Genomic DNA, 25161 nt, shown 5'->3' on the forward strand with positions numbered 1-25161 from the left:
GAAACGCTCTTTTATTGCAATAGAAGGCAGCTTTGCATGTTTAGGAACTGCAAAATGAAAATTCCTAATGGATGCTTTCTATTTTCTCCATAATACAGCACCTAGTTATGCTCTGGAACCACCCAAGGAAAGTAAAAAGATTTGCAAAGTGAATAAGGTTTTCAGTAACTGCTGCGCAAAAAGAGAATAAGTTGAACATTTAAAAAATTAGAGGAATTGTTGGATAGTATTGAGGGCCCATTTAAGATTTGTGATAATGAATTTATAGTGGAACCTATCTGCCTTTGTGTGACTTTTTCTAGCAATGTTCAGCCATTCACGAAAAAGGCACAGAGAAGACATTAACTGCTTCATTAGGAGTTAAGAATCTATCCAACAGGTATAAGAAGAAAGTATATGGCATTGAAATTACAAATAATGAAATCTAAGCTAATTTTAAAAATAAATAAAATAACAAAGGAAGAGTCCTGATGCACTAGGAGAAAGCAGAGGGATCTGTAAGTAAAGAAGAAGAAATCTTAGTAAATTTCTGATGAGAGGTAAAGCTCACGGGAAATAAGGTAGTCAAAGAACTGAAAATCCAGTGTTGGACTTGGTGGTGTTTTTCCATACAGATAGGTCATAAGCTGTGATCATGAAGAGCTTAGAGGGAGAAGAAAAGAGTAAGCCAGCTGCCAAAGTCTCCCATGAGTAAGGAGAAATGACTGTGAGGCTGTTCACTAGATGACAGCAGTAAAGACTGACAGAAGGCTGGCTCAGCTAAAGACAATAACTTCAAAAGAATAGAAATCAAGGGGGGGAAATGATGAAAGAATAATGATGGAAAGGAAGGACAGAGCCTCAGGTTTAAGAGGCTATAAATGAAGTAAAGCAAGAAGTAGGAAAAACACTAGGAAAATAGATTGAGAATTATAGAAGGATTGGCTTTGCGTGAAAAAGCAGTTCCTGAAGTTACAGCAAAAGTGGAGGGGAGTGACAGGTGAGTGAGGAGATAAGGAAGGAGGATACTTAAGAGCATGATGATGATGACGATGATGGGGTGTGCGTATGTGCATGTGTATGTGTTAGGAACAAGGAGACATCCTGACTGATTACAACAAGGAAAAGTGGCATGGGGGATTCTGGCCTCTGTCAAAAGAAGAGGAAAAAAAAACATAGAGCATGAAAATGTCTCAATCCAGCCTTTATGACACTAATTCCAACTTCCTGTTATAGTTCATCTTAGTATCTTCCAACCATTTTGCACGTAAAAAATTTATTGTCCCACTTAACACATTTAGTACACTGAAATACTGAAATTTTGGCTTTTAAAAAGGTAGGTGGGTCATACAATGGCATAAAAGGTCTCTAAGCACACAAAAAAATTACAATGTGATCCTGTAATATTTCTGGGGATGCAATAAATATCAGAATACTTTTTGATTTTTTTTCTATAGAACATCAAACTCACGATGTAACATTTCAAAAATGTGGTTATTTAAGTGAAAGTAGAGGGGGAAAGTCTAGTATGGATTTGAATACCACCCCATTAAAGCAGTGGTTCTTAAATCTTTATTTTCAGTCAGGTACCCCTTTTAAAAACTAACAGAAACCATGGGGCATTCTTCATAGAAAAATGTACCACACATATAAAATTTTGCATGCTATTTCAAGGACATCAATAAGTCCAACTCTAGAACTTCTGAGAGATAACCATGGCTAAGGCTATTTTGGAAATATATTAATTTAAATTAATGATGTTATCCACAGTCAAGGATAAAAACATACATTCAGTAAATTATCCACTGAGCTGTTCTTAACAGCAAGGTGATTTACTTCCACTTACTGAATACATTACAAATTCCCCCTCATAACTAGCACCATTCTGGAAGGCAGGCAAACTCTACTGACATAAGTCAGAAAGGAACTCATAACTAAAATAGCAAGTCATAGATCAATAAGAGATACATATATATAATCAAATCCATATTTTTTAAAATGTAAAATGTTTACTGTGTTCTCCCATCTTCCCCAAACAACTGGAAATTCATTCACCATTTAACAATCCCAAGAAATTGAACACTAAATTTTCAGTAAGTCCCAAAATATGACAGTAAGAAATAAGTACTGGATGAAAAAGAAGGAAGCTTTGATTCTGGTCCCTGCCCTACCACTAATTAGCTGTCACCTTACGGCTTAAGCAGTTCATTTAATTTCACTAGCTTCAGTTTCCTCTAAACTTTTCCATGAAGTACGTAAAATTTCCACTTCCTATAATGAGGTGAATTAAACCACTAAGATGTCCTTTAAATCAACTAGCCCACTATGAGATAAAAATAAAATGCACCATTCCAAAGAAAGATTATTAATGTCCTCCCCTAGGCCTCACAAAACCCACCCACCAAATCATGATCACCCAAAAGATACATATTCTGAAAACTCATATATTCATAATTAGTGTTCAGTCTCTAGAATAGAGAAGAACTAATCATCCGTTAGGTACAGTTTTCATTCAGACAGAAATAATAGCCACCCAGCTGAAGGGCTACCCAACTGATCAAGTCTAATCTTATTTTATTGACAAAGAAACAAGGGACAAATAAGTGACTTCACCTTAGTGGCAAAGCTTGCACTTAAACCAAATTACCTCGCTGCCTGTCCAGTTGACCTTTCTCATCCTCCAGCTACCTCTGCAGCAAAACATAATTAGAAACTGCCTCCATCCCCATAATTAGAAACATAATTAGAAACTCTGTCCCCAGTGGTTACCCCTTGAGAAGCTGCTTTCCCCAGGGCTCTCCTGGTTCCTTCCTGCGGCTAAGATCTAAATAGATTCTAGGTTTTCTCTTGAACATGAAATGATGTAGGTCTTTGGTCCTGAAGATTTTTTTTTCAATGTATATTCATTTGTGAAGGATGCAAAGGTAGATCTCTCTCACATCACACAACTGATACAGACTCGCTGAATTTAATGAAACCTTCTGCTTGCATATCCCCAATTTATGCTCTTCTGATTCATTCCTTTGGTCTTTAAGCACACTCATTATCAGAATACTAGCTGTCAGGGGTCAGGAAGTGCCTTACACGTTCACGCAGTCCACAGTACATGACACAGTGCTCTGCCTACAGTAAGCCACCAATAAATACAGTTTAATGATTAATCCCTAAGGGTTTAAATTGTGAAACTACAAGGTGACCTCTATTGTCTTTATAAGTTATCTTAGATGGCAATAACCTCCTCAATTTACTCTCTTTACTCACTCACTCCTTGCATTTCATACCAGCTACCTCCCAAAGTTGAGATATAAATTCTAGAAAGCCAACATGGCACTCTCATATGCTCTTCAGCCAGGTGCTTTACATGGTCGTTTACCTTTACACAACCATACAGAATAGGTATAATTACTCCTACATTTCTTTAGAGAAACTGTGGTTCAGACAGGCTGATCTGCCAGAGGCCATACAACTGTGGCCTGTGACATAGCTAAATTAAAATATATATATATGAATTACATGGTGCTATTATCAAAAAGTGTATTCTACACTATTCTGAGAGACAAGTTATAAAACTTGTTGAGCTGAGCTGTAGAGGCAATAAGCAAGAGAAATTCAAAATATGTACCTGAGTAATTCTAGAAGGCTTAACAAATGAAATGAGATTTGATTTGACTGAAAAGTAATAAAGAGGAGGCAAAAATAATATGAGAAAAGGCATAAGCAGGGGTCAGTGGGGCAAAAATTCTAAATGTGGGCACTCATCAATATACTTTTAAAGACTATATAAAGTTTAAAAAAATGGCTTTTTTCAAAAAAAAAGATCTTTTGCAGATTATGTTCATGGACTCCCTTTCTCATTTAATAAGTAGAAAGTAAAACAGAAGTAGTATTACATATTCTTTTTTTTTTGAGACGGAGTCTCGCTCTGTTGCCCAGGCTGGAGTGCAGTGGCGTGATCTCGGCTCACTGCAAGCTCCGCCTCCTGGGTTCACGCCATTCTCCGACCTCAGCCTCCCGAGTAGCTGGGACTACAGGTGCCCGCCACTGCGCCCAGCTAATTTTTTTTTTTTTTTGTATTTTTAGTAGAGATGGGGTTTCACTGTGGTCTCGATCTCCTGACCTCGTGATCCGCCCGCCTCGGCCTCCCAACGTGCTGGGATTACAGGCATGAACCACCGTGCCCGGCCTAAATATTCTTTGGAAGGATAATTAGTAAAACTGTTTAGAAATAAGGAAAGCCAAATTAAGATTATGGAAGAGAAAAACCATAGAAATTTATATGTGATGATGATTTCTCCATAAAATATGCTGCTGTGTCTCATCATTCTATAATTCCTTACCTTTTCCAAACCATTAATAAGGCATTCCCTAAGATTTGGCCCTAGGATCCTATTTACATTCTATAGATATCTTCTATACACAAGGGCAACCAATCCTAATAGTCTACTATCGCTAGAAATCCAAGGCTCGGCCACCAGACAATTCACAGAACTTGAGCCTTGACCTAGTCATCGGATATTTCAGAGACTGAGTTTACCCCATCTGAAAAATGTACCACCTACCTCACAATGATATAATACATATCATATACATAAAAGCATTTAAGAAATTCTCATACAAAACTAAAAAATCAGACCTTTATTCTATAAAATTATTTTATTGTTTCTATAATAATATCCTTGGAAGAAAACTCTTAATGGCTGAAGTTTGTTATCAGTATATGTTTACTGATAATTTTTGGTTTTACTGGCTATTTCTGTACCTATTAACCTCTTTTAGTTTTAAAATGATTTTAGGTGATAATAGGATCAAGAAGTACTACAATAAATATGTATCTAGCCATAGATAAATAGTATCACAAAGTACCTTACCTTGGCTTGAACTCAGTGTTTTTTATTTGCTTAAGTGTCATGCAGGTAAGTTTCAAGAGTACATAACAAATTAAGAATGATCTGGTAGAACAAATCCAATGGGACTATTTTGGGGGGGAAAATGCCAAGTTGATGTTGAAGTTCATCTGGAAGAGTAAATGTAAAAGAATGACCAATAAAATAAACTAAGAATAATAATGGGGGAGTTGAACTACCAGATATCAAGATACCAGATATCTAATTCAATGAATTAGAATAGGGCATCTGCAAATAATCCAATTAGTAGAACTATATTTACATGAATGTTATATATAGGAATTAACAGGAATTAAGTATATGGAAAAATATATAGGAATTTATACATTATATGTGGTTATAAATACAAATTCAGTATATGCAGAAGTGTTTCAAATCAATGGGGAAAGGATGGGTTATTCAACACATTATACTGGGAACACTGGCAATTCATTTGGAGAAAAGGCTCTATCATATATACAGCATATCATATATAAATTCCTTATTGATTAATGATATAAACGTAAAGCAAAGAGAAAAACATAAAAATATAGGGACTTCAGGTAAGACAGATATACAAATTTGTTATAAAAATTTCTGCCTGACTAGGCGCAGGGGCTCATGCCTACAAATCCCAGCACTTTGGGAGGCCAAGGTGGGAGGATCGCTTAAGGCCAGGAGTTCAAAACCAGCCTGTGCAAAAAGCAAGACCCTGTCTCCACACACACAAAAAAATTTTCAATTAGCTGGGCGTATTAACATGCACCTGTAGTCCTAGCTACTCAGGAGGTTGAGATGGGAGGATCAATTGAGCCCTGGAGTTTGAGGCTGCTGTGAGCTATGATTGTGCCAATGAACTCTAGCCTGAACAACAGAGCGAGGCATTGTCTCTTTAAAAAAGGTTCTCCCTGATTAAAGATACCACAAGTGAGCATAAAATATGTGAGGAAAATATATGCAAGGGGTTAGTTAATATATACAATAAAGAGTTCCTGGCTGGGCGCGGTGGCTCACACCTGTAATCCTAGAATTTTGGAAGGCCAAGGTGGGTGGATCACCTGAAGTCAGGAGTTCGAGACCAGTCTAGCCAACATTATGAAACCCCATCTCTTCTAAAAAATACAAAAATTAGCCAGACGTGGTGGCACGCACCTGTAATCTCAGCTACTCGGGAGGCTGAGGCAGGAGAATCACTTGAACCCAGGAGGCGGAGGTTGAAGTGAGCCAAGATTGTGCCATTGCACTCCAGCCCAGGTGACAAGAGCGAAACTTGTCTTAAAAAAAAAAAAAAAAAAAAAGGAGTTCCTACAAACTAGTGAGAAAAAAACTCCTCAGAAAAAGAAAGTGAACAATAAATGGGCCAGGTCAATAAACACAAGTCAAAGGTGTGGCAGAGGAAAGGGGAAAAAAAAAATGTTGCTATGTACACCATACTTCTGAGAATATGGCCTATAGAAACATTAACACTAATGTGCAACAGTATATGAATGATATTGTTCACTGTGTTACCATATGTAATGACAAAAAATTGTAGATGTACATAAGGGAATGGTTATGATGTATCCAAACAATGGAATAGTATGCTACAGATATAGAATTAGAAGACCTACATGTATGAAAAGATAACTATGACACATGAAGTAGAAAAAAACAACTAAAATATAATATAGCAATGGTCCTATATCATATCACTATGCAACCGGCATTAAAAAGTGCATGCTTTTTAAAGTGATTACTTCTAGGGAGTGACAGTAGGCAAGAGAGAAGTTGACTTTTCAATTCAAACTTTATATACTTCTATGCTACAATGACTGTATATTATTTTTATAATAAAAATGACTTGTGCCTGTAGTATCTGATATGGTGTCTCTGCTTTCTATCTCTAGCTCCTCAAACCATGTTCTACTTCTGTCCACTAGGGTTTTCATCATCTCAGCTAATAAAATATACTCTGTAGCTCTGTACAGAAAAAATCTACTTGTAAATTTAGTCTTTAACACGACCGCAATTTACCCCTCAAGATCCACCTCTTCCTTGCAAACTCCCATAAACAGACTGAAAATCCCTGACATAAACACTCTTGTTTTCTCACATGCATGGCCATGGCTCATCTATTTCCATGTTTCATGCAAAAGCCACTACTTTCATGAAAATTATACTTTAATTTTATTGTGCCAAGATTTGTGATTATTAACAGAAGGAAGCCATGGCTTCTTGGTAATGCATGAATCACAGAGGCCAACTCCAGCAATGTATGAAGAAAGACTCTTAGATTCATTTCACAAAGATTTACTGAGAGCCTCTGAGGTAATTACCAACAGAATAAAGCACATATAAAGTTACATGCATACTTTTCATACCCTCAAAGGAGAATCCCAACAAGCTTTCCACACCAAATGCCTCCAATTCACCAGCCAGTTAGGTTAGTAGATAAGACATAGACTCTGCTGCAACACAACCTGAGTTTGAAGCCAGGCCTTGCCACTGCATGACCTCAAGTGAATCACTCAACTTTTCTCTATGCCTAGTTTCCTCGTCCATAAAATAATAGTATCTGCCTAACAAAGATGTTAGGAGAACTGAGAATTAAATGAGCCAATACATGTAAAGTACATGTAATGACTGGCACATATGAAAGCACACAGTCCGTGGGTCTCTGCCAGTCACCAAAATGCCAACTTCTTTTTCTCATGTGATACCAGGACATTTACAAACACAAATTACTCTCTACCTATCACATATTCATTCATGAAGGGAAGGCGAGAAATGCCAACTGTGTGACACTGAGCTAGGTACTGAAATAAACAGACCCAAGAATGTGGTGAGACATAAGATTAGAAAAGCAGGTAACTCATTTAGAACCATGTCTAATATTTCACTTGATCTTGAAACATAAGAGCCACTGAAGGAATTTAAGCGTTGGAGAAACATATCATACTTTTAAAACTTACTCTGACCCCAGAATAGAAAATGGATTGTGGAGGCAAGATTGAAAGGAAAGCAGTTAGAAGATTGTTGTACAAATACATGTAAGAAATTCTACAGTGATCTAAGAGCAATGGAGATAGAGAAAGGAATATTTAAGAGACTTTACTTTAAAAGATATTACAGTCAGACCTTCATATCCTTGGGTTCTGCATCCATGGATTAGACCAAACACAAATTGAAAATATTTGAAAAAATTTACAAATAAGTATTTAACTACTATTTACATAGTATTTGGTATCTAGATTACTTATAATCTAGATTCCTTTTCATGTAATGGTAATTTAAAAAAGTAATCTACAGATGATGTAGAAGTATACAGGAAGATATGCATAGGTTATATGCAAATACGATGACATTTTATATCAGGGATTTAAGCATCAGCAGATGCTTGATGGAGGGGGGTACCAGAGCCGAAACCCAAGGAAACAAGGGACAAGTGTACAAGGTAAAATCATGAATCCTTGATATCTGAATGAACAGAGGAGATGAGAGAAAGGACAGTCCTCAGATTTTCTGCCAAGAAAGAAAGGGTAGATGGTGATGCCATGAACAAACAGGAAATACCTTCCAGGAAACTAAGAGAAGTCTGCTGGTCAGAATCTTATTTCTCTTACTCCTTTCATTCAGCACAAAATTACAACAGTCCATAAAGGAACTCTGCTTCCTCCTCCTAAGCAGAAACTGTCACCAAAAATTTTATTTTATGAAAGACTGCCTAGATACGATCTTGGATCTTCAGAGTTTTTCAGGTTAAATTATAGCATGTTCTTGGCACTGAGGACACAAAGGTGAGTGACAGACTGTTTTTAGATAGCTTTCATTCTAACAGATGTGATGAACAGTACGATAAGATGAAACGAAAAAAAGAGACAGAGAAATTAAGATAAGTTTCTAGGAGACCACAACCACTGTGACTGCAGCTGAACAAGTACTATAGTACCGGAAATGAGTAAGAAGGAACAGACATGAGAGTCAATACATTAATAGAACATGGAGATTAATTAAATCTTAGGAAGGCAAAACATAGGAACCTCAATGACTGCTATGACTCTAACCTAGACACTGTTCATGAATATAGACACATTTGGTCAGAGATTCCTTTAAGACATACAGATAGAGGCCGGCTACAGTGGCTCATGCCTGTAATCCCATCACCTTGGGAGACTGAGGTGGGCAGATCACCTGAGCCCAGGAGTTCAAGACCAGCCTGGGCAACACGGAGAAACTGTCTCTACAAAAAAAAAAAAAAAAAAAAAAACCACAAAAAAATTAGCTGGGCATAGTGGTACACGCCTGTAGTCCTAGGTACTCGGGAGGCTGAGGAAGATGGATTGCTTGAGCCCGGGAGGCGGAGGTTGCAGTGAGCCAAGATCATGCCACTGTACTCCACCCTGAGCGGCAGAGCAAGACCCTGTCTCAAAAAATCAAATAAACAAAAAACAACCCAGACATACAGATAGAAATCCATAGAAAACAGTTGGATAATCAGGTTTACAGGAATGTTTACCAACATTAAAACACATGAAGCAATTCAAGACCTAGATTGCTTATCGAAAATGAAGAATGAGAAGGCAGCCAATGAAGGAACTCTTAATACTCAATAGAGAGGGAGGCTGAAAACAAGTATTTACCTTCCTCATAGAATCCTTACATAGAATTGAGATTCACATATCATACAGTTGGAGAGCCATATGTTAGAGGTCATTTGGTCTTGTCCATCATTTTACAGATGAAAATTTAAGTGAGATTCCAAAGTTCACATGGCTGATTAGTGGAGTTCTCGCTCTGGTGTTCTCTAGGTTGCTTCCACGGCACCCTCCCCTTTCCACTCTCTGTCCTCTAAATCTCAGGACCTCATGGAAGTGGTATTCCCAAGGTAACTGAAGCAGGGTGATTTTGAAGTTGAATGTATACAAAAACTGCCAACAAAGTGCCTCTAAATGTAAATATACACACACATACTGATTTATTTATTTTTCTTGGGGGACAGAGTCTCGTTCTGTTGCCCAGGCTGGAGTGCAGTAGCGTGATCTTGGCTCACTGCAACCTCTGCCTCCCGGGTTCAAGCAATTCTCCTGCCTCAGCCTCCCCAGTAGCTGGGACTACAGGCACACGCCATCACGCCCAGCTAATTGTTTTGTATTTTAGTAGACATGGGGTTTCGCTGTGTTGCCCAGGCTGGTCTTGAACTCCTGAGCTCAAGCAATCCACCCACCTCAGCCTCCCAAAGTGCTGGGATTATAGGCATGAGCTAACGAGCCCAGCCTTTTTTTTTTTTTTTTTTTCCAGACGGAGTCTTGTTCTGTTGCCCAGGCTGGAGTGCAGTGGCATGATCTCAGCTCACTGCAACCTCCGCCTTCCTGGGTTCAAGAGATTCTCCTGCCTCAGCCTCCCAAGTACCTAGGAATTACAAGTGCCTGCCACCATGCCCGGCTAATTTTTGTATTTTAGAAGAGATGCGGTTTCACCATGTTGGCCAGGCTGGTCTCGAACTCCCAACCTCAGGTGATCCGCCCACCTTGGCCTCCCAAAGTGCTGGGATTACAGGCCGGAGTCACCATGCCCAGCCCCTCTAAAAATATTAATGCTTTGTCCAGATCACGATTTTGTGAGTTTAAGTGAGGTTAACCATCATTAACATCTACTCAGATACTTCTGAATAACAGTTAATGTTAAAACCAATTATTCTGATTAGGTTTAATGTTTGCATTTCAGAATGTCCTAATATACATAGTTAAAGCCTAGCAGTTAGTTCATTTTCTGCTTAACAAAGAGAAAGTTTCCGTTTACTACAATTTTTACTTCCAATGGGGAACCTGAAGGCTAGGCTAATCTTCCTTTAATAATAAACACCTGGATACTGTCCACTTAACATTCTGTGAATGCCGATTTGGGGAGGTGAGAAAGGTATATTCAGGCTCTAAAGCATACATCACAACATGATGCTATCAACTTTAAGTCACACATGATAATCTCAAATTGCTAAAAATAATAGCTCCAGACCAAAATGATGTAACTTGCATATCAAGCCTTTATTGCATATTCTCATGTAGCATATACTGTTTTCTGTCTATATTGTAAAATATATAGTGCCTTACCTCTTCAACTAAACTAAGAGTTCCAGAAGTTTATTTTATGATATATTTTACAATATCCAGTCCAGTGCCTGGTACATATTAGGCACTGAAATATTTAATAAAATTATTTATTTATGAAGAAAAGGAACATACTCTCTAACCCAGTGATTCTCAGCTTGGGAGGAACAGGTAGATTAAAATAACAGGGACATCCTTGCTCCTCCCTTTTAAAAAGCACTGTCACTAGGAGACACTGATGCTGACAAGTGTTCTCTCATGTGTCCTGGGACAGAAAAAAAGATTTAGAACTATTTATCTGGTATAAAACTAATTTTACAGATAAAGAAGTCAGGCTCACGTAAATTAAACAATTTGTTCACACCCGTTTAACATTATTTGCAAATTAATAATCACCTACACCTAGTGTTGACTGGTTTCAGGTTCCTAACTAAAAAGATGTTTGGAGACCTGCCTGAAATCAGAAAACCAGATGGCCTTTTAAGGTTTATCTCCTTATAATCCTAATCGCTCCCCCATACAGATAGATCATTTATCTCTAAATGACATCAAATGCAAGATGTTTGAACATTTTAATACTATCATTGACATAAAATAGGGTACTAGTTAATAAAAACTGTTGCCTAGGGATAATGTTCTTAAATGCAATCCAAACCATCAAGTTCGGTTTCTTTCTTCACATAAAATCCTCAACTGAATGTAAGAAATATTACAAGGGAGAATTTTTAAAAGTAAACTTGTGGCATTAAGTAATTTCAATTTTAATTAGTATCTCTAGAGATGTGAAACACTAATGTAGAACACTAGTTTTTGTTTTAAATTAAAAATGCCTTTATAACTCTTAATCAATATTTTGGAAGTATTCTGAATCAAATTGAAATCTAAAAATTTATTCCACATTTAAAAATATATAAAGAAAAGGAGGAAAATATAGGATACAGAAATGTATGTATAATATAACCTTAACAACATAAAGAATAGAAACGCATAGACAAAAACTGAAAAAATAAGGCAAAGATAAATTATGTTATCTCAAGGTAAGAAAATCATGAGTGACCTTTTTCCCTTTTATTACATTAATATATTACTCTGACATTGTGAAAAGGTGATCTGAAAGATTTCAAAATGGGGAATTTTTTTATATTTATATGGCTTAGAAACATTCAAAACAAATTCACAACAGATTTTTAATCTAAGACAAATTCACAATTTAAAGTCATTCAGATCAAAATGCCTTGGTGAAAACAACATTCAAGCTTATTTAAAAACAAACAAACAAACAAAAAAAAAAAACAGGGGTTTTCCAGGTACGTACACTTTTGCCATCAATTGCTATTTTTCCTATAAATGTTTCAATATGCCAGTACATACAGATACACGTACACACACACAAATTAAGATTTTCAAAATTTCAAAGAAATCAGTGCTAAATTTCCAATGAAAAAAACACTACTTAAAATATGAAATCATTTCACTGAATCTGACTAAACATTTAAATTCTAGTTACCAGATGTACATTCAGAAAGTACACCACCTCGGCTATGGAGAATAAACCACTTCCTTCAATAGCACTGTTGCATTGGCTGTGATTTATTTGTTATGAATTATTTTCTCACTTTAAAGCAGCTTTATAGCATAACTTGCCTCATCAAATCCATTATAAAGCATCCAGCCTCCTATCACACTAGAAGAAAACAACCTAAAAGATTCACTGAGACCAGATTTCAATTTTATGTAAATAACACTGAACCAGCAATTTTTTAAAACAAAGACATTTAAATAAATTCAATCTACATATTACATTGGATTATATACGTTGAGGTAGTATATGCAAAATTTATAATCTAATACATGCAATGAATTTAAATTATCATATTATGACCATTCTATAGCACTAAGAATTCTTGTTACTAATAATTTTCCTTTAAAAAGGAGATTTATATTTTATTTGAAAATATTATTACTGTGACTGAAAACTTTGTTGGACTAGAAATAGGACAGCCTACAAAACAAGGCCTTTTTGCTTTACAGAATGAAAACAGTATACAACCTTCAAAAAATAACAAGGAAAAAAACCCACACTAAACAAATACATTGGTGTTTTTTTACCATTCTGCCCTAGGACTTCTCTTTCATTTATCCCAAACTCTCTCTGAGAGATCTCATTTATATCCCCATCCCTGGAACTATCTACCCTTGCGTCCCTCCCTAATAAATCACATTAATTCTTCTGTCCTAAGCTTGGGCATATTATTTATAAGCAAAGCTAGGAATGTGTATTTGAGAAATATCTCCTCAGCAATGCAGAATAATCTAAATTGAGTAAGTACCAACCACGCACCAAGAAATGCTATAATGACTTAATATATGCTATAATGGCTCATTCAGCATTGCAACCACCAGAAAAAATAAGAACTATAACCCTACTTTTGCAAATGAGGAAACTGTGGCATAGTGTTAAGTAATTTGCTAAAGGCCACACAGCTAGTAGTTGGTTCAGTTGAAATCTAAATCCAAGCAGTCTAACACAAGTACCAGTGCTCTTCTAAATTAATGTGGAAACTAGCAGTGAGAATCAACTCTGGTCATAAAAATCAGAAAAATAGTGCACACTTGGAGACAAGAAAAAGTTCAGGAGAAATAAAAATTTCATAGTATGCATGAGCTGAAATAAGGAAAAAAAGGTTTATAAGGACCTTACTGAAAACTTCAAGGGTTCTAGAATCAGAGATGATAAATGAAAATTAAACTGTATTAATCAAATTTAAAAGGCATCAAAATTTATTAATATTCTGTATATTTAGGTGCCACACACTGTTTTTAGTGACAATAGAATACACATACACAGGCCTTCATAGATTCGGCGTAATCCTTATTTCAACCTAGTCTTCAACTTCTTTAATACATTTTACCTTTGGGATTTTCAGAAACATGACCTTAAAGACAGGGAGAGGTTACTCCATTTGAATAATCCTTAAAAAAATTCTAGTTTTAAAAAAGACATACAATAAGATCATTGTATATCTCCAGATATAATACATTATTTCCAAACACCATTTTGAATTCATGTGTGAGCAAGATGGCTTAAGAAGACTTAGTAATGGCACCAATATCCAGAAATAACTCCATAGTAACAAATATAATGAATTTTAAAGCAATTAATAAAGGAAAAGGAAATTAATATTGTTTAGGGACTGCTATGTAGATGTATAACTATTGTAGTTTGATCTAGCTTGACAGTGTATTATGGGGAAAAAAGGAAAATGAAAAATATAATAGGCCTTTTATTTACAAAAGCATAATCAAAAATCCCTATATGTATGTGTCTATTTTTATAAATGGTTATGTGAAAGAATATATATCAGACTGTTGAAATGGCTAAATGGAGAAAGGGGCAACAGGTAAAAGGGCCTATATAAAAACATTATGAATGATTAAAAAAAACCCTCCAAAAAAAAAAAAAATCAGTGGAAGTAACTTGAGTACCTCAATTCATTAGACTTTAACATAATAATCCACTTTTTAACAGCATTTGCTCCTTAAGTGGTAATAAAAGAACACTATTTCTTTGAACTAAGTTCAATGATCATTTCCTGGGCATTTTCCATGAGCAAGACCTTATGACAACTGCATCATATGGGTTATTTTACTTCTCAGAAACTTGTAAGGTAGACATTATTTTCTCATGGATAAATGGTATTTTTGGCAATGCCAACCTATAACAGCATGTTCAATGCACTAGGGACACAATTTTCAGGGACACAAGGTAATTGCCATAAACAGGCCCAAGAAAAACTGCATAATTTATCTTTTATCCACTGTCAATGAATGAAAACTTCAATACAAATACAAAATCCTTCAGTGGAGTATAATTATCCTTTATGAAATAACACTATCAATGCTATTATGAATAATAATTAAATTTAACAATTAGTATAATCTTTCTGAAGAAGTGTGCTAAAAGTACTATATGTACAATATGTACTATAAGTCTTAAAAATGCCCATCCCTTTTCATCCAGCAATTCCACTCTAAAATCATATCTTTTATATAATAAATTGAAAGACTTAAGTTCCTATAATAACCAGACAGCTAGACAATGGAATACTATGAAATCTAAATTTATCGGTATTAAAAAGGGTCTATGTGTGGTTGTCAGAAACTAGGGGGAGGGCAAAATGAAGAGTTGTTTAATGTTGCACATGATTAAGTTAAAATGGGTTTTTTCAAAAAGGCAGGTGACCACTTAAAAAAAAGGACTAATATACTCTAATATGTAGAAACACACACAAAGTATAAAAATGAAGACTTCAGTATTAGAAACATATTGCTGTGAATGCTGGTTCTATCCTTTACTGGTTTTGTGGTCTTGGGGAAGATGTTTACACATTCTGGAGCTTCAGATCCTCCAACTATAAAACTAGGATAAAAATAATCCCTATTCTATGTGATTATTATGAATATTAAGTGTTAGCAGATATAAAGAATTTAGTACATTTGGTGTAAAGTACTCATTAATATTGCCTACAATTACTGCTTAAATGCATCAAAATGCTACATAATTCTAGATTCCATAGGATTAGGCATGTACTTTCTCTTAAATTGGTTCTCAATAAACAATATTATTTAAGCTGGTACTTACAAAGGCACCAAGCAGGCAAATATTAATAAACTAAATTATACAGTATTTTAAATCAAACTGAATTGTTGTTTTACAATCCAAAGACCACAAAGTCATCTGAAATTTAAACAGACTAGCAAATGACTTCATTTCTTAGGACTGCTAATTTGCAGGATTTAGAAACTGATACCAATTCTCTATACATGAATGACAAGTCTCGGTTAAATAATACTAGCAGAAAAAAAGCCCTAATTTTTAAATACCTTACTAATGATAAAGCTGGTTTCCTTGACAATGGATTCAATTTTATCCCTACGATGCTTATCACTTAACAAGATTAAACTGTTACAGAATAAAAGTTTGTTGCAAGAAAAGTAATGTACAACAATGAAAAGGGCACTGGAGATTCAAAGAACTCTGTTCAAATTACAACTGGCTTCTTAACACCTACGTAAAATTAGGCAATTTATTTATTTTATATGAGCCTCACCTTAAAGGTTCTTATAATGACCAAATAAAACATATACAAAGCCTGACACATAGCTGATATTCAAAATGTTAATTCACCTTCCTATCCCCCCTTGAGAGGTAGCTCCCAGAACAGAAAGCTTTACAGACAACCAAGAAAAAGCAGCAGATACCATATTCAGACTGAAAGCAGTTGGCCATATAGGTACTTCTATTAAATCAGAGACCTAGCCCCTTACGAGCTACTCTAAAACTCGAGGGGAAAGTTTGTACCTCAGTTTTATGTCCCCTATGCCTAGCACGTTTTTCTAATTTAAAAAAAGGAACATGCAATAAATGCTGGCTAAGCTGAATTTTATTTGTCCTCTCCCTTCATTCTATTCTTTGGCTAAAGTACTTAGTAATATCTAGCACATTAAAAGCAGTAAAAATAATTTTTTACTAAAAGGATGTATAATTGCCTTAGAATAAAACAAGAAAGTATATACAAATATACATGTGATTAGAATTTGTAAGGTCAAAAAAAAAAAAAGCAAGGTAATTAATGTCAAAAGAAGACTCTATATTTAACATTCATGTAATTCATAGATGGTATCAGCTGTTCATGAAGATACACAGTTTTGAGAGTCTAAAGCAAATTATTTTTAAATTAAGCAATTAGTGTTTCAGTTTTTCCAGTGTAGGTGTACATACAAAGAGAATCTTAAAACATAGCTGAGAACATTCTGAACTAAAGCTTTTTCACTGAAATAAACCACTTCCTTTACAAAGCCCACATAATTTTAAGCAGAAAGCCAATTAATTCTGGTTACCTGTATAAGTATAAAATTCTCCTAATTGTCTAAATAAAAATACTCAGTGATGAATAAATTAGTGAAAAAATATTTTCATTGAAAATTATATTTAAAAGGGAAAACCAAAAAAGATGCATTAAATATGACTGTTAACAATCTACTAAAAAGGATTAAAAGATGCATTTTAAGTGCATTATTGAAAAGTTCATATAGATTTAGTAGTATTCATAATATCTCATATTTCTTTGTAACATAAACTTTTCAAATTAATCACAGGATTTATTTCCAGGATAAGGATAAAATCTCATAATACATTTGACCTAAGCAGGAAAAAAAAAAAAAGAGGTTGCATCTCCTCATAAAAATCAAATGTTACTATGTTTCCCATTTACTGATGAGATACATAGTGATGATATCTAAGAGAAAGACAAATACAGCAAAATAAACAAGTAGAAAAAAATGATCTTAGGGAAATTGTTTATGGCTGTTCTTTATCTTTTTTTTTTTTAAACTTCTTGAAGTTCCCTACTGAAGAATAGGGAACAACCTGCCATTAAGAACCAAAAGTGGCCGGGCACACTGGCTCACGCCTATAATCCCAGCACTTTGGGAGGCCGAGGCGGGCAGATCACGAGGTCAGGAGATCGAGACCATCCTGGCTAACACGGTGAAACCCCGTCTCTTCTAAAAATACAAAAAATTAGCCGGGCGTGATGGCGGGCGCCTGTAGTCCCAGCTACTTGGGAGGCTGAGGCAGGAGAGTGGTGTGAACCCCAGAGGCGGAGCTTGCAGTGAGCCGATTTCGCGCCACTGCACTCTAGCCTGGGCAACAGAGCGAGACTCCATCTCAAAAACAACAACAACAAAAGAACCAAAAGTATGATAATCATCACCTGAGATATAAATAATATTAAATAGATATTTGCATACAGACATACTATGTAAAGTTTAACAGATTATTAACACTATGAAATGGCAAAACAATGCTAGAAAGAATATAACCTCATCATATAAAATTAGGCTTTACTTTCTAAATAAAAGCTTTATTTGAAGGGAAAACTAGATAAAATTCAAAAGAAAAGGAAAATGATATATAACAGGTTTCTAACCAGTATAGGTAGACCACTATTACAAAGCACACCTTGTCAAAAATAGTAGCTCAATTATAAAATATATTTCTTCAAACCAAGCAATACTTTTAAACAATCATCTTAATGATCTGATTAGTATAAACATTTATCAGCTACTTTATTTGTGAGGCAATGGAAATATCAATTTTGAAAACTGTAAAAAATGTCCAATTTAAATTATACATGATACTTTTTCCAGATTTTTAGACCAACTATTTTTCTCAATGCTCACTTTTTTTTAACACTATTTTTTCAATGAAATAAAATTAATCCAGTGGTAGAAAAAGCCTCAATAGGAATCGTTAAGAGTGAAACCTCGCTCCACATAATAATATCTACTCTGTTGAAAACTATCTTCCAGTTGACTAATTATAAAATTTTAATCCATAAATAATATTTTTCTGAGAAAAGGGTCCCTTAAAACAATAATGATGGGCCGGGCACAGTGGCTCACGCCTGTAATCCCAGCACTTTGGGAGGCCGAGGCGGGCGGATCACGAGGTCAGGAGATCCAGACCATCCTGGCTAACATGGTGAAACCCTGTCTCTACTAAAAATACAAAAAATTAGCCAGGCATGGTGGCGGGTGCCTGTAGTCCCAGCTACTCCGGAGGCTGAGGCAGAAGAATGGCGTGAACCCAGGAGGCAGAGCTTGCAGTGAGCCGAGATTGCACCACTACACTCAAGCCTGGGTGACAGAGTGAGACTTCGTCTCAAAAAAAAAAAAAAAAAAAAAAACACAAAACAAGAATGATGTATGAATTTTAATTTCTGAATTTTCCTGTGGAAGAGTTTGTGTTACTCAGTTTTATACTCTTGGGGGTGTTTTTTTTTTTTCTTGGTAGGTTTAAGGTGGCAAGGGAAATAACATCAGAAAACTAAGATTATTCCACAATTTTATTACCCAAATATGCGCCTTTTTAGCAGTTCATTCATGGGAATGTATAACATAATTATAAAATAACATTTTAAGGTTATATGTATTTGCTGTTAACAAAATGAACTAAAATGTTGTCTAAATTAAGATATGTTAACATTTAGTATATTATTTTAGAAGTTAGTTCTAATTTATTACCAGAAGAGGCTAATTTTATGTAAATACTAAGAAGTTCACATTCCAAAACTATAAATATATTAAAATACTAAAAATTGCTCTGAATTGGGGGAAAAAAGAGAAATCTTCTTCCGGAATGCTTAGTGGCATCAAGTTGACATGATACTGGAACCATTATACGTAAGCTCCTAAATCTTTAGGACAAGGCCTGCTGTATCACATACTAAGAAAGAAATTATCACAAGCCTCTCAGATCACTCTAGTTTCACAGTTGAAAAGGGGGTATCTAATCTAACAAGTGCCCTTGGAAAAATACATCCAGTTTAAGAGCCAATGCAAAGATGTTTCTATCCCAATCTTCTTCCAAAAAACACCCATCCCATTTTCCCGAAAGAGAGCAAGAAAAACAGAAAACTGTACTTTCAAAAAAGTAGGAAACAGTCATAACACCAAAGCACAAACTATGAAGAACTTCTTACCAAACAGAAATGTGGATCAAACTGAGAGCACATGAGAAACATAGGACTCCAGATTCTGTCCAGAAGCCAGAGTTCTCCAAAGTTGGAGGCGTACCTCTGAAGGACCCAACAAAAGAGTCATCAAGAAAATAGCAACAGTGAAGGCTAAGGAAGAATCTCAGAACCCATCCACACCAAGCAAGGAAATCATAAAAACCTTCTGAAGAGAATTTCACTTAGCCTTTCACTGCTTCTGTTTTGCCTCAGAGACAAAATTGACAATGCTGACAAAACTGCTGCAACATGACCTAAGGATAAACAGCAAGTTCGAGAGTACAAGGTGGTCCGAGCTCAGTCACCACACCCCTCCCATTATTCTTTATAAAATGCTGTCAAAAAAGAAATCCCTCCCTTTTCAAATATTCAAAGAGGGCATGACATAGAAGCTATAGGTAGATACTCTAAGAATAAATATGGAGGAAAACAAGGTAGATGAAGAATATATAACAGTTGAATGTAAAAAGAAAAAGACAGGGTTTTTGAAGTTTTATGATATCAAATATAGCAAAGAAAATACAGCCTCTGACAGAAGAGCTTGGAAAAAGAAAGACAGGATAAAATAAAGATGATAAAAACAAATAGGAGGAAAAATTGAAAAGTAAGCCAGCAGGGCTCAGGAGAAGAACAGAGGGAGAGTGGGAAACTCTGTAGAAATAAAAGCCGCACTGGAGGTGGCAGAATCGAGGTAGCTAGTTAGCAACATGCAACAATAGAAAACAGTAGAGCAACAGCTGCAAAGTCCTCCAGGAAAGAAAGAGTAATGCTAAACTATTCTTTTCAATTTGTCATGCAAATATAGGCCACAAAATCACTTTAAAAATAACTAATAAACTGTTTTTAAAAACTGTTTAATAAATTGTTTAAAAAAATAATTGTTTAAAAGCTAATAAATTCAGTTAACAGAAGTTTAAATATACTATCAAAGGTGTAAAGGTGAACACCTTACCTAAGAATTTAAAATATTAACAAAATTAATGAGAAATAGAAAAGGGGTAAATTGTAAATGTTCACATCTCCATTTTTAACAGTGAGAGATCAATATACATTGTTTAAAGTTGGTGAATTTAAAAAGTTAAAGTATGTTATTACATGATAAAAATAAACTATAAAATTTCCAAGTTATCAAAGAACACACAAAGATAAAAACAAACACAAATCGTATCAAAATATGTAAATATAAAAGACAACAACTTTTTTTAAAATGACAGACATTATTATCTGGTCTATTAATAACATAAATGAGAAAAACCCATCTATTAAAACAAAGACTCTCTATCCAAACCCAAGTATATACAAGTACAGGAGATACAACTAAACCAAAGTCACTCAAAACACTAAAAGCAAAAGAAGGGATGAATAAAACTTAGAGAAAGCAGCAATCATGATATTAATGCTAAACTGAATTTAAGGCAAAAATTGAAAAACTAGTAAAAACGGAAATTTAATGAAAAATTCAAATGCACAGAAAGTTCATGTATCTTTATATATCAAATTTTACAGGGTAAACTCTCCAGGCAATATGAAATAAAAATGCAAGAGTGTTATATATTAACTTACCACACTCAGCCTATTGCCAATCCAAAAAAAAAAACAGATTATAAGAATAATGAACAGGCCGGGTGGGGTGGCTCAGGCCTGTAATCCTAGCACTTTGGGAGGCCGAGACGGGTAGACCACTTGAGCCCAGGAGTTCGAGACCAGCATAGGTAAAGTGGCAAGATCCCATCTCTACTAAAAATAAAAAAATTAGCCAGATGTGATTGCAGGCACCTGTAATCCCAGATATTCGGGAGACTGAGGCCGGAGAACAGCTTGAACCCAGGAGGCGGAGGTTGCAGTGAGCCGAGATTGCGCCACTGCACTCCAGCCTGGGTGACAGAGACTCTATCTCAAAAAAAAAAAAAAAAAAAAAAAAAAAAAGAAAAGAAAAAATAGCTAACAGAAAAGTATTGTATTTTGTATTCTGCAAACAGAACAGTATTGTTGACAAATGCCTATGAAACTACAGAGAACTACACTGGGCCACAAACTCAATAAACAGAGTACAGATCACACACTCTGATAAACAGTATAATAAAACCAGTAATCATAACAAAAATAACAAAACTCCCCAGCAACCAAAATTCTAAAACTCTCTTGGACTCTTGGCTTAAAAACGAAATGAAAATTAAAATTGTGGATTATCCAGAAAATAACAGTAATTCTAAAAGAACCCATCAGCCACTGCAAATGTAGTATTCATAGGAAAGTAAGATATAATTAAATAAGAAGAAAGTGGGAATGATGAATATCAACTTTAAAATATTAGGAAGGAACAAGCAAAGGATGAGGCTAGATTCCAATCTAACAGTTTATTTAAATAGAGATCTGAAATTTACATGGCAAAATGTTAGCTTATTAAAACCAAGTGCTAGTTCCATGAGTGTTTATTATATTATTTTCTGCATTTTTCTGTTAGAAATTCCATAAATAAAAACTCATTTTTTTTTTTGAGACAGTCTCACTCTGTCGCCCGGGCTGGAGTGCATTAGCACAATCTTGGCTCACTGCAACCTGTCCCCACACTCAAGCAATCTTCCCACCTCAGCCTCCCAAGTAGCTGGGATCAAAGATGCGTGCCACCACACTCGACTAATTTTTTTGTATTTTTGGTAGAGATGGGGTTTCACTATGTTGCCCAGGCTGGTCTTGAACTCCTGAGCTCAAGCAATCCACCTGCCTCAGCCTCCTAAGCGCTGGGAATACAGGCATGAGCCACCGCGCCTGGCCATAAAAACTTTTAAGATGAATTAAAAATGCATGTATGTTAAATATTCTACTCAGAAGGGTAGGAAATGAAAAGCAAAAAACATAAGGAAAATACATTAAGTCATACCCAAACTTACAAAGTAATGAATTAAACCAGGAGAACTAATTACAGATCTTGGAACCAAAATTTAGGGAAGAAAAAAACAAATTGCAAGGTAATAAAAAAAAAAAAAATGCTGGGCAGAGAGAAAGGGGAGACTAGAGGAGAGAAAACCATACTGAAAATGAGAATAGAGAAGTAACTACAGACACAGAAAAATCTAAAAGAATAAGACAATGTTTGGTACAATGCACAACAAATACATTTGTCACCTTGGATGAAATGGACGTTTTTCTAAGAAAATTAAAACTTTCAAATTTGACCCCAGAATCTTCAAAAAGATAAATCCTATCATAAAACAAATCATTTCAATGCTACTGAATTATTTGAAGATGAAATCATTCTAAATTTTTTGTAAAACCATCACAAGAAAAACCAAAATCCAAAGAGCATACACATACACACGAATGCAAGTAATTTTATGAATAGATGAAACCATCTTAAATGTTAGCAAATAAAATCCATCACATTAAAAGAATAATCCACCATGACCAACTGGAGACGGTTCTTCATCATAAGACTAGAACAATACTAGAAAATCTACTAAGATAATAATAATGTCTAATGTTATCTAAAGCCTTTGGCATCTCTGGAGACAGTATTTTTTTCCTTCAAAAATCTCTTGCTAGCAGTAAATACAACAACAAAAATTATAGCTGGATCTTCTTCTTTTTTTAGTAACAAGACAAGCTGTTTCTAAAGCTCATATGGGAAAAAGAGGCATGTGAGATAACTCAGAAAAACTATAAAAAGGAGTGAAAAAAATAAGACAGCCTACCAAAAAATAGGTACTAAAAAGCTATAGTAATTTAAAAAGGTACTACAATAAATCCATCTTTCCATAGAGAAAAGATGGTGGAGAAATGGGATTCCTATGTTAGCCCTTAATAGCAGCTAAATCAAAGATACAAATGTAAAATAATGAATCTGACACAGATATGAGAAAAAATAATATTTTTTCAAAAATTATCTTGTAGTGGAGCATAACTTTCCAAAACCCTTAAGAAAAAAAGCTAATAAATCTGAATATATACAAATTCAAAATCTATCTTCTAACAAATGACCTGACACACTAGAAATCAGAAAGTGTTTTCCATGCATATAACAATTTTATGACTAATTTCCTTAGTATATAAATATGCATATGTGGATCCACACATATACATACACATACACACACACATACACAGACACATACACCTTAAAAAATCATGAAATGAGAGATAAACCAGCAGAAAAATGGGCAGATTAAGAATAGACAGGAAGAAAAATATAGCTTTATATATAAGAAATATAAATAAATGAAAAAACATTTTCCAATTATCAGGTTGGTATAATAACAAAAGAAATAATACCCCTATCTATAAGAATTTGGGCAGAAATGCTCATAAACTAGTGGGAGGGAAATCAATTTCTATTAAGGGCAATTAGGCAATATCTATCCAAAACTTTCAAGTATATAAACTCAATTTCTAGAAATGTAGGATGCTCATTTATTATTAGCAATAACAACTGGAACACTTAAAATGTTCATCAATAGAGGCTGTTTAAATAAATTATGGTACAATCATATTACAGAATTCTAGGTAGCTGTTAAGAAAGAATGACATTGATCTGTATATGGCAGCAAAGTTCTGCAAAATGCTTTATTAAGTGATACATATATAAGTGTTACAGTATATTCTCCATTTGTATAAAAATGTATACGTACATTCACATATGTGTAACATGCTAGGGAAACCTTTGGAAGAATAAAGAAGAAACAGTGTATTTACAGTGGCTTCCTCTAAGGAACAAGATTGTGGGACCATATTAGGAGACAGACTCAATTTTTACTTAAAAGCCTTGCCTACGTTTATGTGCCAGACATATTCTGAGTTGGGAATACAGCAATGAATACACAAAATTCCTGTATTTGTAGAACTTACATGGAAGAGGGGTGGAGGGAGAGCAGAGAGAAAACATAACAAAAACAAGTGTATATACAACAAACACAGAGGATACAAGTGCTGTGAAGAATAAAGCACAGTTACAACAGAAAGTCTATGTATGTGTGGGAGAGGAATTATGACTTCACATGGGGTGGTAATAAAGGGAGAACGGTGAACTATGGGTGCATATGAAAGTTCCCCTACCCCATGATTGAGAGTAAAGTGATATCGAAACTGCAATTCAAACAGTGATTAGCCAGGAGGGAAGGGGGAGAGAAAAAAGGCAAGCACTATAGAAGGAGAGGAAACTCAGGTAGGTGTTCTTGGGTAGGTCTGGGTAAACAGGTACAAAACAGAAATGAGTTCATAAAAGGGCTCAGGAAATAAAAGGATTTAGATAGGGAGACAGAAAATTAGATCTTTAGTTTAGAAAACTTATTCTGGCCGAAATAAACTGAAAAGTCAAGAAACCAGTTAGATGTTTAGGTAATTCTGCTAAAAGCTAATGGCCTTTAAGAGGAAAAGTAACAGTAAATAAAATAATGAAAACAAAAGTAACAATAAAGATGTAACAATAAAGAGGAAAAGTAACAATAAAGAAGAAAATAATAAAGAGGAAAAATAACAATAAAGAGTAGTGGGCCAAAAAATGTACAGTTGATTCTCATTATTCACAGGTTCTACATTTGTGAATTCACCTAATCACAATTTACTTGTAATCCCAAAATCACTACTCACTTTTGCAATCACTTGTGGACATGTGCAGAGCAGCGAAAAATTTGAGTCATCCAA

General features: G+C 35.0%; 1 protein-coding gene across 4 annotated transcripts in view, besides 1 other annotated feature; it reads right to left on the minus strand.

Annotated features, from left to right (window-relative positions):
• Positions 1-25161, minus strand: part of HBS1L (HBS1 like translational GTPase) — a 94445-nt gene that overhangs the window by 45389 nt on the left and 23895 nt on the right. The window contains exon 5 of one of the 4 annotated variants that reach the window (NM_001363686.2): positions 4848-4993. The exons of the other annotated variants lie outside the window; for them this stretch is intronic. The gene's annotated coding sequence lies outside the window, so the exon portion shown is untranslated. The remainder of the gene's footprint in view (positions 1-4847; positions 4994-25161) is intronic. 4 annotated transcript variants of the gene reach the window in all.
• Positions 24598-24657: an enhancer, noted in NCBI's record as "active region_25096". NCBI's record gives its function as "activates an Ori minimal core promoter by ATAC-STARR-seq in GM12878 lymphoblastoid cells {active_cell/tissue: GM12878}" and the evidence as "EXISTENCE:reporter gene assay evidence [ECO:0000049][PMID:35858748]".

This window comes from Homo sapiens, chromosome 6 (assembly GCF_000001405.40).
Source record: "Homo sapiens chromosome 6, GRCh38.p14 Primary Assembly".
NCBI lineage: Eukaryota > Metazoa > Chordata > Mammalia > Primates > Hominidae > Homo > Homo sapiens.